General features: G+C 38.4%; 1 protein-coding gene and 1 long non-coding RNA gene across 3 annotated transcripts in view; one reads left to right on the forward strand and one right to left on the reverse strand.

Annotated features, from left to right (window-relative positions):
- Window positions 1-14240, reverse strand: part of LOC102724446 (uncharacterized) — a 75216-nt gene that overhangs the window by 13231 nt on the left and 47745 nt on the right. The window lies entirely within an intron of this gene.
- Window positions 9491-10444, forward strand: OR2G2 (olfactory receptor family 2 subfamily G member 2). Its single transcript, NM_001001915.1, has one exon. The coding sequence runs from the start codon at window positions 9491-9493 to the stop codon at window positions 10442-10444; it is 954 nt and encodes a 317-aa protein (NP_001001915.1).

The following is a 14240-nucleotide window of genomic DNA, read 5'->3' on the forward strand; positions in this document are numbered from 1 at the left end:
TGAAGAGAAATCCTCCCTCAGAGTGGAACTTCAAATAGTACATCTGGTTCCTTGCTTTGCCTGGAAACAGAAATGGCCAAATGTGTGATTTTTTTTTATCAATTCATGGGCTGTGGCCAGTGGTTTGGTGGATGGTGAGAGACTTGGAATGAATATGGTTGGACAATTGGTGACAAGGAGGTCTGGGGAAGAATTATGTGGATGGACCTCTCTTAGGCTAAAAACCTGAAGATATTGTGTTATGTGAGTGCTCACCAAAGAGTGACGTCAGCAGAGAAACTAATAGTCAACAGTGTGTGGATATCAGTCAGCCTCTTTCCCCAGCCACCCCGTCATCACACAGTGGGCTCCTGAACAGGTATGGTGGCAGGGATGGAGATTATGCATAATTTCCATTCTTCAAGGCTGACCTGACTACGGTCACTGCTGATTGCCCAATCTGCCAGCAGCAGAGACAAACATTGAGCCCCTGATATGGCAGCATTCCCCAGGGCGATCAGACAGCTACCAGGTGGCAGGTGGATTACACTGGAACACTTCTGTCACGGAAGGTAGTTCTTACTGAAATAGACACTCTGGATGTGAATTTGCCTTCTCTGCACATTACGGTTCTGCAAAAGTACCGTCTGTGGACTCACAGAGTGCCTTATCCACCACGATGTTATTTTACACAGCTTTGCTTCTGGTTAAGGAACTCACTTCACAGAAAACAGAGTGTGCCAATGAGTTCATGCTCATGAATTATGAATTCACTGGCCTTACCATGTTCCCCATGATCCTGAAGCAGCTGGCTTGTAAGAATAGTGGAATAGCCTTTGGAAGACTCAGTAGCAGTATCAGTTTGGTGGTAAAACCTTGAAGGATTGAGACAGGTTCTCTATAATGCTATATAGGCTTTGAATCAATGTCCAATATATGGTGTTTCCAACATAGTGAGGATTCATGGGTCCAGGAACCAAAGGATGGAAATGGGATTTGCATCATTCATTATTACTCTTAGTGATCCACTGACAAACAATTTTTGTCCTCACGATCTTAAGCTCTGCTTGCCTAGAGGTCTTGGTTCCAGAGGGAAGAATGCTTAGGTCAGGAGACAAAACAACGTTTCTGTTAAACTGGAAATTGAGACGGCCACCTGGCCACTTTGAGCTCTTTGTTCCTCTGGATCAAAAGGTAAAAAGGGAAATTACTATAGTGGTTGGGGTAATTGATACTGACCAAAAAGGACAAATTGGACTGCTACTCCAATACTCCACACAGTACTGTCATGCTCTGTGATTAAAGTCAGGGGACAACTACAACAACCCAATTCAGACAGGACTATTAATGGCCCAGACCCTTCAGGAATAAAGGTCTGGGTTGACCCACCAGGTAAAGAACTACAACCAAGATGCTTGCAAAGGCAAAGGAACATAGAATATAAAAGAAGGCAGCTACAACCATGCGACTAGTTACAGAAATGAGGACTGTATTGTTATATTTCTTCTTTGTTTTGTTGTGAATATGTTTGTATAAATGCATGTATGTATAGACATATATAAACATTTATATGTATGTTACATAATTATTTTATGTATTACATATACATATATGCATATATATACACACAGTAAGCAAATATCTTTGATTTCTTTCCTCTTTTATCCTCTTATGATGTAAGATAAGATGTATTACTTTTACATCACAGTATGTAAGTTATAGGATATCAAAGAGAAAATAGCACTTGTCAGTTTCCTTATTTGAAGATTCAGTATGGTTTGAGGAGTTGTGTATGAGTGTCAAGGATGAACTATAAGAGTTAATTTTATGTGTCAACTTTTCTAGGCTATAGTACCCAGCTAGGTCAAACATGAGTCTAGATGTTGCTGTGAAAGTATATTTTAGATGTGATTAGCATTTAAATCTGTAGACCTTGAGTAAAGCAGATTAATCTCCTTCATAAAATATGTGGGCCTCATCCAAACTGTTGAAGACATTAAACAAAGCAATTATCAGCCAAGAATTTTGTATCCAGTGAAACTAAGCATCATAAATGAAGGAAAGATGCAATTTTTTTCCAGACAAACAGATGCTGAGAGAATTTGCACTACAAGAACTGCTAAAAGGAAATCTAAATCTTGACACAAATCCTCAAAATATACCAAAATAGAACCTCCTTAAAACATAAATGTCACAGGATCTATAAAACTACAACACAATGGAAGAAAAAGGTATTCAGGCAACAGATAGCACAACACATAGAATAGTACCTCATATCTCAATACTAACATTGAATGTAAATGGCCTAAATGCTCCACTTAAAAGATACAGAATGGTAGAATGGATAAGAATTCACCAACCAAGTTTCTGCTGTCTTCAGGAGACTCATCTAACACATAAAAACCCACATAAACTTAAGGTAAAGGAGTGGAAAAAGATATTTCACACAAATGTATACCAAAAGCAAGCAGGAGTAGCTATTCTTATATCATACAAATTTTAAAGCAACATAATGAAACCCTGTCTCTACCAAAAATAAAAAAAAAATTAGCTGGGTGTGGTGGTGGGCACCTGTAATCCCAGCTACTTGGGAGGCTGAGGCAGAAGAATAACTTGAACCCAGGAGGCGGAGGTTGCAGTGAGCCAAGATTGTGCCATTACCCTCCAGCCTTGGCAACAGAGTGAGACTCTGTCAAAAAAAAAAAAAAAAAAAAAAAAGAAAAGGCAAAGAAGGACATTATATAATGATAAAAGGACTTGTCCAACAGGAAAATTTCACAATTCTAAATATATATGGCCCTAACAGTGGAACTCCCAAATTTATAAAACAATTACTAGACCTAAGAAATGAGATACATGGCAACACAATAATAGTGAGGGACCTTAATACTCCACTGACAGCACTAGACAGATCATCAGGATAGAAAGTCAACAAAGAAGCAATGGACTTAAACTATACCCTACAACAAATGGAGTTAACAGATATTTGCAGAACATTCTACCCAACAACTGTAGAATATGCATTCTATTCATCAGCACATGGAACATTCTCCAAGACATACAGTGTGATAGGCCACGAAACAAGCCTCAGCAAATTTAAGAAATTCAAAATTATGTCAAGTATTCTCTTAGACCACAGTGGAATAAAGCTGGAATTTAACTGTGGGGAAAAGAGAGATCAGATTGTTACTGTGTCTATGTAGAAAAGCAAGACATAAGAAACTCCATTTTGATCTGTACTAAGAAAAATTGTTCTGCTTTGAGATGCTGTTAATCTGTAACTTTAGCCCCAACCCTGTGCTCACAGAAACATATGCTGTTTTGAATCAAGGTTTAATGGATTTAGGGCTGTGCGGGATGTGCCTTGTTAACAATATGTTTGCAGGCAGTATGCCTGGTAAAAGTCATCGCCATTCTCCGTTCTTGATTAACCAGGGACACAATGCACTGTGGAAAGCCACAGGGACCTCTGCCCAAAAAAGCCTGGGTATTGTCCAAGATTTCCCCCCAGTGAGACAGCGTGAGATATGGCCTTTTAGGAAAGGAAAGACCTTACAGCCCCCAGACCCACACCTGTGAAGGGTCTGTGCTGAGGAGGAGTAGTGAAAGAGGGAGGCCTCTGTGTGGTTGAGACAAGAGGAAGGTTTCTATCTCCTGCTCATCCCTGGGAATGGAATGTCTTGGTGTAAAGCCGACCATTTGTTCTATTCTGAGATAGGAGAAACTGCCCTGTGGCTGGAGGCGAGATATGCTGGCAGCAATACTGCTCTGTTACTCTTTGCTACACTGAAATATTTATGTAAAGTGAAACATAAATCTAGCCTACGTGCACATCCAGACACAGTACCTTTCCTTGAACTTATTCATGTTACAGATTGCTTTGTTCACATGTTTCCCTGCTGAACTTCTCCCCACCATCACCCTGTTGCCCTGCCACACTCCGTTCACCAAGATAGTAAAAATAGTGATCAATAAATACTGAGGGAACTGAGAGACCAGTGCCGGTGCAGGTCCTCGTACATTGAGTGCCGGTCCCCTGGGCTCACTGTTCTTTCTCTATATTTTGTCTCTGTGTCTTATCTCTTTTCTCAGTCTCTTGTCTCCACCTGATGAGAAATACCCACAGATGTGGAGGGGCAGACCTCCTTCATTAACTCCAAAAGGAGCTCTCAAAACCATGCAAATATATAAAAATTAAATAACCTGCTCCTGAATGATCATTGGGTCAACAACACCGTCAAGACGGAAATTTAAAAAATTCTTTGAACTGAATGATAATAGTGACACAACCTATCAAAACCTCTGGGACAGAGCAAAAGTGGTTCTAAGAGGAAAGTTCAGAGCATTAAATGCCTACATCAAAAAGTCTGAGAGAGCACATATAGATAATCTAAGTCACACCTCACAGAACTGGAGAAACAAAAACAATCCAAACTCAAACTCAGCAGAATAAAAGAAAATAGAAGATGAGAGCAGAACTAAATAAAATTGAAACAAAAAAAGAAAAATACAAAAGATAAATGAGACAAAAATCTGGTTCTTTGAAAAGATAAATAAAATCGATAGACCATTAGTAAGATTAACCAAGAAAAGAAGAGAAAAGATCCAATTTAGTTCAATTAGAAATGAAATGGGAGATACTACAACTGATACCACAGAAATACAAAAGACTTTTCAAGGCTACTATGAGCATCTTTACTCATATAAACTAGAAAACCTAGAGGAGATGGGTAAATTCCTGGAAATATACAACCTCCCAGATTAAACCAGGAAGAAATAGAATCTTGGAACAGACCAGTAACAAGCAGCAAGATTGAAATGGTAATTTAAAAATTGTCGAAAAAAAAAGTCCAAGACCAGACGAATTCACAGCTGAATTCTATCACACATTCAAAGAATTGGTACCAATCCTATTGACACTATTCCACAAGATAGAGAAAGAGGGAATCCTCCCTAAATCATTCTATGAAGCCAGTATCACCCTAATAGTAAAACCAGGCAAGGACATAACAAAAAAAGAAAACTACAGACCAATATTCCTGATGAACATAGATGCAAAAATCCTGAAAAAAAAAAAAACTAACAAACCAAATTCAACAACATGTCAAAAAGATAATCCACCACGATCAAGTGGGTTTCATACCAGGGAAGCAGGAATGGTTTAACATATGTAAGTCAGTAAATGTGATATGCCACATAAACAGAATTAAAAACAAAAATCACACGATTATCTCGATAGACACAGAAAAAGCATTTGACAAAATCCAGCATCCTTTTATGATTAAAACCCCCAGCAAAATTGGCCTAGAAGGGACATAGCTTAGTTGTCTAAAAATTGCTTGCCTTTTCATATTTTTGACCTATTTGTATTTCTTCCTTTTCTTTTTTTCTATATCTGTCACATATATATTTACAATACAGGTTTTTATTTGTCTCTTACTGATATTTTAAAATGCCATGGTTATTAAATCTTTGCTTTTTGTCTTATAAATATTTCCCACATTTTAAAATTTGTGTTTAATATTTGAAATACAGTTGAAAATTTGCTTTCGTAGGGGAGGAGAAGTTATTTTTATCTACCTTTCTTAGGTTTACTGGTGGGGCTGACTCCGGTAACAAAAGAAAAATTCACAAGAGAAACATGAACAAGTTTATTAAAATGTATACTGCAGTATACACGAGAGATGCTCAGTATACACGAGAGATGTATACACGAGAGATGTATACACGAGAGATGCTCAGGGAATGAGTAATTCCCAAAGAGGTAACCTAGGCCTCCAGCTTATGGAGCAGCTTCAAAGAAGAATGGTAAATTTTTAGAGGATAACAAGACAAAGGAAAAGGACAAGACAAAGGAAAAGGACAAGACAAAGGAAAAGGACAAGACAAAGGAAAAGTTTCTGGGGACAGCAAATTGTGGGAAGGCTAATAAATGGCAGATAAAAGCTAGTTGGGAGGGGTTGTTTCATAGATTCCTCTGATGCCATCTCCTGGCTGTTAATTTTTGTCTTTCTTGGTGTGGGGAGGAGGACACAATTGTCTTTTGTACATCTATCTCCTGCTTTTAGGCAAATTGAGGAAAGGCAGGTAACGTTTTCTTTATCTGCCTCCTCCCAGTTGCACTCAGTTCAAAACAATTTTTATGTTAAAGAGATATATTTTTGTAAGCAATGAGAAAAGGACTCCCTATTTTATAAATGGTGCTGGGATAGCTGACTAGCCATGTGTAGAAGAATAAAACTGGACTCCTACATTTCACCATACACAAGAAATTAACTCAAGATGAATTATTTACATGGAAGATGCCAAACTGTAAGAATCCTACAAGAAAACCTAGGGAATATTATTCTGGACATCAGCCTTGGGAAGGAATTGATGACTCAGTCCTCCAAAGCAATTGCAACAAAACCAAAAATTACCTAATTAAATTAAAGAGCTTCTGTAAAGCAAAAGGAACAATCAACAGAGAAAACAGACAACCTACAAAATGGGAGAAAATGTTCACAAACTATGCATCTGACAAAGGTCTAATATACAGAATCCATAAGAAATTTAACTCAAAAAGCAAAAAACAAATAACCCCATATAAAAATGGGCAAACGACATGAGCAGACACTTCTCAAAAGAAAACACACAAGTAGCCAACGAATGTGAAAAAATGCTCATCATCACTAATCATCAGAGAAATGCAAATCAAAATCACAGTGAAATACCAGAATGGCTATTATTAAAAAGTAAAAAAAAAAACAAAAAAACCAGATGCTGGCAAGGCTGTGGAGAAAACAGAATGCTGTTGGTGGGAATGTCAATTGGTTCTGCCACTGTGAAAAGCAGGTTAGAGATTTCTCAAAGAACTTAAACAGAGCTACCATTTGACCCAGCAATCCCATTGCTGGGTATATATCCAGAGGAAAAGAAATCATTCTACCAAAAAGATACATGCACTCATATATTCATTGCAGCACTATTCACCATAGCAAAGAAATGGAATGGTAGACTGAATAAAGAAACTGTGGTTCCTATATGCCATGGAATACTATGCAGCCATAAAAAATAATGAAGTCGTGTTCCTTTGCAGCAAGATGGATGCAACTGGGGGCCTTTAATTAATGCAGGCACAGAAAACTAAACACTGCATGTTCTTACTTATAAGTGGGAGCTAAACAATATGTACACATGAACATAAAGATGGGAACAACAGATGCAGGGACTGCTAGAGGGCAGAGAAAGGGAGAAGGGAAAGGACTGAAAAAGTAACTGCTGGGTACTATGCTGTGTCTGGGTGACAGGATCAATCATACACCAAACCTCAGCATCATGCAATATACCCAGGTAAGAAACCTGCACATGTACACCCTGAAACTAAAATTAATGTTTAAACTATTTTTAAAAAGAGACTTCTTTTTGGATGGCATATTTTGGTTTTTTCCACTTTCAGTTTCTTTTTAAAAAACATGTTTTAATTTTTATGCAATTGGTCCTAACAGTTTTTGATTTACACAATTTGTTGCCTGCTTGGGACATAACATTTTAGTACATCCATATGTTCATTGTAGATTCAATCTTTAATCAATAAAATTGTCCTGTTTTGTCAGTTTTGTTGTTATCTCAAAATTAAATTATATTGAATTTTTCTAATTTAATTTTTAAAAATGTTTTCTTTTCTTTCTTTAATTGACTGTATTGTTTGTTTCAAACAGGCTGTATAAATTTGAGTTTAGTTTTTTTTTACCCTAGCCTATGACATGCCTTTTTCTATTAATTGGAGCACTCATCCCTTAAGTGATTGATGTATTTATTTCACTCATATTTATAATCATCTATGAGCAATCATTGTGTGCCTATACTGACATGATTTGTCTTAATTCTTTAACTTTATTTTCATTATTTTACTATTTATTCCTTTATTTGTTACTTGAATTTACTTTTTTTTAAGAGATAGGGTCTTACTCTGTTGCCCAGGCTGAAATGCAGTGGCATGATCATAGCTCACTGCAACCTCGAACTCCTGTGAAGCGACACTTCTGCCTCAGTCTCTTGAGTAGCTGGGACTACAGGTGCGTGGGACCATGACCAGCCAATTTTTAAATTTTTTTTGGAGAGTCAGTGTCTTGCTATGTTGCAAGGGCTGGTCTCAAACTCCTGGCCTCAAGCTGTCCTCCCACCTTGGCCTCCCAAGTCGCTGGGATTTCTTTTATTATTTAAGTGCCATTGTTGTTCTTTCTTCTTTGCCCTTTTCTTCATAAACTATTTTCTTTTAGCCTTTTAGGGATCCAGTATTTGAGAAGTAATTTAGGCTGCACATTAGTTCTTTTTTTTTTTTTATCACTGTTAGTAACTGATGGAGTGACATATTTAATACCCATTTTTAAAATTTTGATTCCTTTCCAATGTACACAAATAGGTCTTGTGATTATTAAAACCTTTTTCTTTTTTTAATTATTATTATACTTTAAGTTTTAGGGTACATGTGCACAATGTGCAGGTTCGTTACATTTGTATACATGTGTCATGTTGGTGTGCTGCACCCATTAACTCGTCACTTAGCGTTAGGTATATCTCCTAATGCTATCCCTCCCCCGTCCCCCCACCCCACAACAGTCCCCGGTGTGTGATGTTCCCCTTCCTGTGTCCATGTGTTCTCATTGTTCAATTCCCACCTATGAGTGGGAATATGCGGTGTTTGGTTTTTTGTCCTTGAGATAGTTTGCTGAGAATGATGATTTCCAGCTTCATCCACGTCCCTACAAAGGACATGAACTCATCCTTTTTTATGGCTGCATAGTATTCCATGGTGTCTATGTGCCACATTTTCTTAATCCAGTCTAACATTGTTGGACATTTGGGTTGGTTCCAAGTCTTTGCTATTGTGAATAGTGCCCCAATAAACATACGTGTGCATGTGTCTTTATAGCAGCATGATTTATAATCCTTTGGGTATATACCCTGTAATGGGATGGCTGGGTCAGATGGTATTTCTAGTTCTAGATCCCTGAGGAATCGCCACACCAACTTCCACAATGGTTGAACTAGTTTACAGTCCCACCAACAGTGTAAAAGTGTTCCTATTTCTCCACATCCTTTCCAGCACCTGTTGTTTCCTGACTTTCAATGATCGCCATTCTAACTGGTGTGAGATGGTATCTCGAGACTCCCTTTTTCTGTAACTTGAAATACATTAATATAAAAGGGGAAATTTATTTTAAAGGAAGGGTCAAATTTATTTCCTGCAAAAGATGATGATGTTTCCTAATGTCTGCTCTTGCTCTTCTCTGCTTCGGAAAGCATTGAAGAACAGCTAAGATATTTGAAGGATGTGTATTGCATTTATTTATAATGCACATATTCGGAAAATAAATAGATCTAAGTCACTGGATGTAAAGACATAGCTTCTAAGCATTTAACATACAATACTTTTTTGGGTAGGCAGGTGACATTGTCACTCATTTAACCCTATGTGATGTGTTATCTTTCTCAGCTATGCCTCAGCCTTGGGGAACACACTTTACATATGGGGATGGTGAGACATACCAATGAGAGCAACCTAGCAGGTTTCATCCTTTTAGGGTTTTCTGATTATCCTCAGTTACAGAAGGTTCTATTTGTGCTCATATTGATTCTGTATTTACTAACTATTTTGGGGAATACCACCATCATTCTGGTTTCTCGTCTGGAACCCAAGCTTCATATGCCGATGTATTTCTTCCTTTCTCATCTCTCCTTCCTGTACCGCTGCTTCACCAGCAGTGTTATTCCCCAGCTCCTGGTAAACCTGTGGGAACCCATGAAAACTATCGCCTATGGTGGCTGTTTGGTTCACCTTTACAACTCCCATGCCCTGGGATCCACTGAGTGCGTCCTCCCGGCTGTGATGTCCTGTGACCGCTATGTGGCTGTCTGCCGTCCTCTCCATTACACTGTCTTAATGCATATCCATCTCTGCATGGCCTTGGCATCTATGGCATGGCTCAGTGGAATAGCCACCACCCTGGTACAGTCCACCCTCACCCTGCAGCTGCCCTTCTGTGGGCATCGCCAAGTGGATCATTTCATCTGCGAGGTCCCTGTGCTCATCAAGCTGGCTTGTGTGGGCACCACGTTTAACGAGGCTGAGCTTTTTGTGGCTAGTATCCTTTTCCTTATAGTGCCTGTCTCATTCATCCTGGTCTCCTCTGGCTACATTGCCCACGCAGTGTTGAGGATTAAGTCAGCTACCAGGAGACAGAAAGCATTCGGGACCTGCTTCTCCCACCTGACAGTGGTCACCATCTTTTATGGAACCATCATCTTCATGTATCTGCAGCCAGCCAAGAGTAGATCCAGGGACCAGGGCAAGTTTGTTTCTCTCTTCTACACTGTGGTAACCCGCATGCTTAACCCTCTTATTTATACCTTGAGGATCAAGGAGGTGAAAGGGGCATTAAAGAAAGTTCTAGCAAAGGCTCTGGGAGTAAATATTTTATGATTATTAAAAAAAAATTTAAGTGACACTGTGATGAATTTTTTTTTTGGTAAAAAGTAGCATCTTTTAATAAGAGGATTTTTTATGGGCTCTTCTCACATTTTCTTTTGATTAAATATTTGTACGACATTTTGCATTATGTAAAATACTATGGAATATATGTCTACATACATACATGAAACATATGTCTATAAAGTCGCAACTTGGCCATTACCCAGTAGCAGTATAAGGTGAGTCCTTTAGTCAATCTATGCTTCAGTGCCTTTGCTGCAGAATATATCATTTGTGTAGTACATTTGAAACTACTTTTAAATAAATACTTTACTGGATTAAGATAGGCATGAACATATTCAAGAAATGTTTATGTCAGCCAGCTTTTTTTTTTGGTTGCTAATAACGCATTAATCTCTGAGCCTTCCTGTAGATGGACACATAGCTTATTCCCTTCCAAGAATGTAGCTGAGATGCATGCGTGTTGATCAAGCTGTAATGAGGCAAATTTTTAAATTGCACCCTATATGCCATCCTCTTAACATGTGGAAGAGATGTGTAGACATGCAAATACAACACAAAGACAAAGGGCACACTTTAAAGGTGATGTGGAAAGTAGATGAAAGCCCAGTTCTCTGGTTGTGTAGTTGCATCAAGAAATAGTTTGAACTGCCTAACACTGGAGTCTCAGTCTACAGAAAAAACACAGCTGTAAAATTTTCTATGGCTCACATGGATACACAAATAATAACACATTGTTATTATATCTGCATTTCTGTATATGAAACATTTTCATAATTTTGAGATATATCTTCCAGATAAAACCTTAACCAAATTGTTTAAATTATTTGCACTAAAATACTGAACTTCATTTCCCATGGCTTCACTCTAAATGGCCCATACCATTCTTTTTCTGGAAATAAGGAATTTTTGCATTTTGAGTCTAGAAAACGTTGTGTGAACTCATGGTATTATACTTCCTATTTCACTGCATTATAGCAGGCATTGGGTTGTATACTCTGTAGTAGGAAACTATGTCCTCTGTTCAAACTTACATCAAAATAAATAAATGAATTCAGTGAGATGAGGAAGGATATTGTAGAAGGGTCTTTTAAGTCCAAATGTGGTGATCATTTTAAATATAGTATTAAACGTTAGAGAATGAGTTGTTGTTTATAACTCTTCAGAAGCAGAGGCATAATTAGTAAGATAATGCACTGTATGTCTTCTGTCCTTTGAGTGTCTATCCTTTCAGTGTCCCTCAGTTGTTTATTTACCAGTTTGTTACATTTTTGATGTGCAAGTACTGAATATCACATGCAGTGCTAGTTGCTAAGTATAGGGAGAAAACTAGAAATAAACGGTATATACCCACCCTGAACTCATTGCTGTTAGAAAAGATGAACCTAAAAAACAAAAATACAAAAATTAGCTGGGCATGGTGACACGTGCCTGTAATGCCAGCTATTCGGGAGGCTGAGGCAGGAGAATCGCTTGAACTCGGGAGGCGGAGTTTGCAGTGAGCTGAAATCGCGCCACTGCACTCCAGCCTGGCAACAGAGTAACACTCCGTCTCAAAAACAAAACAAACAAACAAACAAACCCCCCAAAACAAAACAAAACAAACTGCAAGGTAACCATGAAAATGAAACTGGAATAAGGTCTATGAAAAAAATAGTGTGTTATGCAATTGATTATCAAGGAGCTAACTGAAGGCTTCCTGGGAAAGTGGCATTTAATTTGCCACCTCAGTAAAGCTAAGAAGCAACCCTGGAGGACTAAAGGGGAGAGGATGGGTAAGGAAAGGAAAGAGTTTCCTGTAGAAGACTTTGCCTAAGGCAATGCTGTCAAGATATCAGCTGGAGCTTTATCTTGACCTTCCAAATCTGGTTAATATGGTTCTGTATCCAACCAATTATAGTGCCTGCTGTTTTCCAAACTCTCCCAAACTTCCCAAAATTTTCTGAGGGCTTTTATTTTTAGAGTAACTATGATCTTTTGCTCTTTATAAAACTCTCATGAGTTTAGAACACTTTAAATAAGATTATGTTTTAAGCAGAGATAACACAGATGTGACAGAGCATGCACTGAAAGCATTTGAATCTTCCTTATCGTTCTTTTTTCTTTATGCTGGCCCTTCAATCCCTTTCCAGGAACACCACATTCTTCTCCAATATTAGAAGCAACAATCTCTCTTCCTGCAATATTTTGACACCAACAAGTACCCTGACTTTGAAAAATCCAATTTGTAAGCTGACAAACTTCAAAAATATGCTTACAAACATAGGCAGATTTCTCTTGAGTACTACCAAATGGTACTATGGTACTATGGTACTTTGTCAAGTGACAAAGTTCCTCCTTATGTTGCCAAAATAAAAATAATGCTCTATCATTGTTTGCTGTGGATTTTTAGTAAATTATGCCTAATGCTTTTAAACTATATTGGATAAAATATTTGTAGAGTAAGTAGGATCTGTAGCTATAAAAATTTTATATTGGAACTTCACTTTCTAATCAATGATACTTTTTCAAAAGAAGACTTGCATAAAGTGGGATTTCTATTTATGTTTATTTTGTCACCTTTCATGGAGACATATACTTCATACATTAATAAGTTTGCTTATCAAATGTAAATTAAGCTTGCCCTGGGAACTGGGATCGGAATATTGGAATCGTAGATTATAGTGCAACAAGGATGCAATTAAACAGGCACTAACAATAAAATGAGTTAAGACTTGGGTTAGGAAAGGAACAGTGATGGTGAAGTACATGCAATATAAGAATATCCCCCATTTTTGGAGATGAAAATTTTTTTTTCTTTTTTTAAAAATTTTACTTTAAGTTCTGGGATAGGTGTACAGAACATGCAGGTTTGTTACATAGGTATACATGTGCCATGGTGGTTTGCTGCACGCATCAACCCGTCAGCTAGGTTTTAAGCTTCACATGCATTAGGTATTTGTCTTAATGCTCTCCCTCCCCTTTCCCCCAATCCCCTGACAGGCCCTGGTGTATGATGTTCCCCTCCTAGAGTCCATGTGTTCTCACTGTTCAACTCCCACTTAAGAGTGAGAACATGTGGTGTTCGGTTTTCTGTTCCTGTGTTAGTTTGCTGAGGATGATGGTTTCCAGCTTCATCCATGTCAAAGGACATGAACTCATCCTTTTTTATTGCTGCATAGTATTCCATGGTGTATATGTGCGACATTCTCTTTATCCAGTGTTTCATTGATGGGCATTTGGGTTGGTTCCAAGTCTTTGCTATTGTAAATAGTGCTGCAATAGACATATATGTGCATGTGTCTTTATAGTAGAATGATTTATAATCATTTGGGTATATATCCAGTAATGGGATTGCTGGGTCGAGTGGTATTTCTGGTTCTAGATCCTTGAGGAATTGCCACACTGTCTTCCACAATGGTTGAAGTAATTTACACTCCCACCAACAGTGCAAAAGCATTCCTATTTCTTCACATCCTCTCCAGCATCTGCTGTTTCCTTTTTTTTTTTTTATTTTTGAGACAGAGTCTTGCTGTGTCGCCCAGCATGTAGTGCAGTGGTGCGATCTTGGCTCACTGCAATCTCCACCTCCCGGGTTCACGCCATTCTCCTGCCTCAGCCTCCCAAGTAGCTGGGACTACAGGCACCTGCCACCACGCCTGGCTAATGTTTCGTATTTTTAGTAGAGATGGGGTTTCACCGTGTTAGCCAGGATGGTCTTGATCTCCCGACCTCATGATCTGCCTGACTTGGCCTCCCAAAGTGCTGGGATTACAGGCATGAGCTACCACACCTGGCCTGTTTCCTG

The sequence above is a fragment of the Homo sapiens genome, chromosome 1 (assembly GCF_000001405.40).
Source record: "Homo sapiens chromosome 1, GRCh38.p14 Primary Assembly".
Taxonomy (NCBI): domain Eukaryota; kingdom Metazoa; phylum Chordata; class Mammalia; order Primates; family Hominidae; genus Homo; species Homo sapiens.

Bases quoted from the DNA above. Each gene is read 5' to 3' on its own strand.
- OR2G2 (NM_001001915.1), top strand. From the start codon at position 9,491: ATGGGGATGGTGAGACATACCAATGAGAGCAACCTAGCAGGTTTCATC.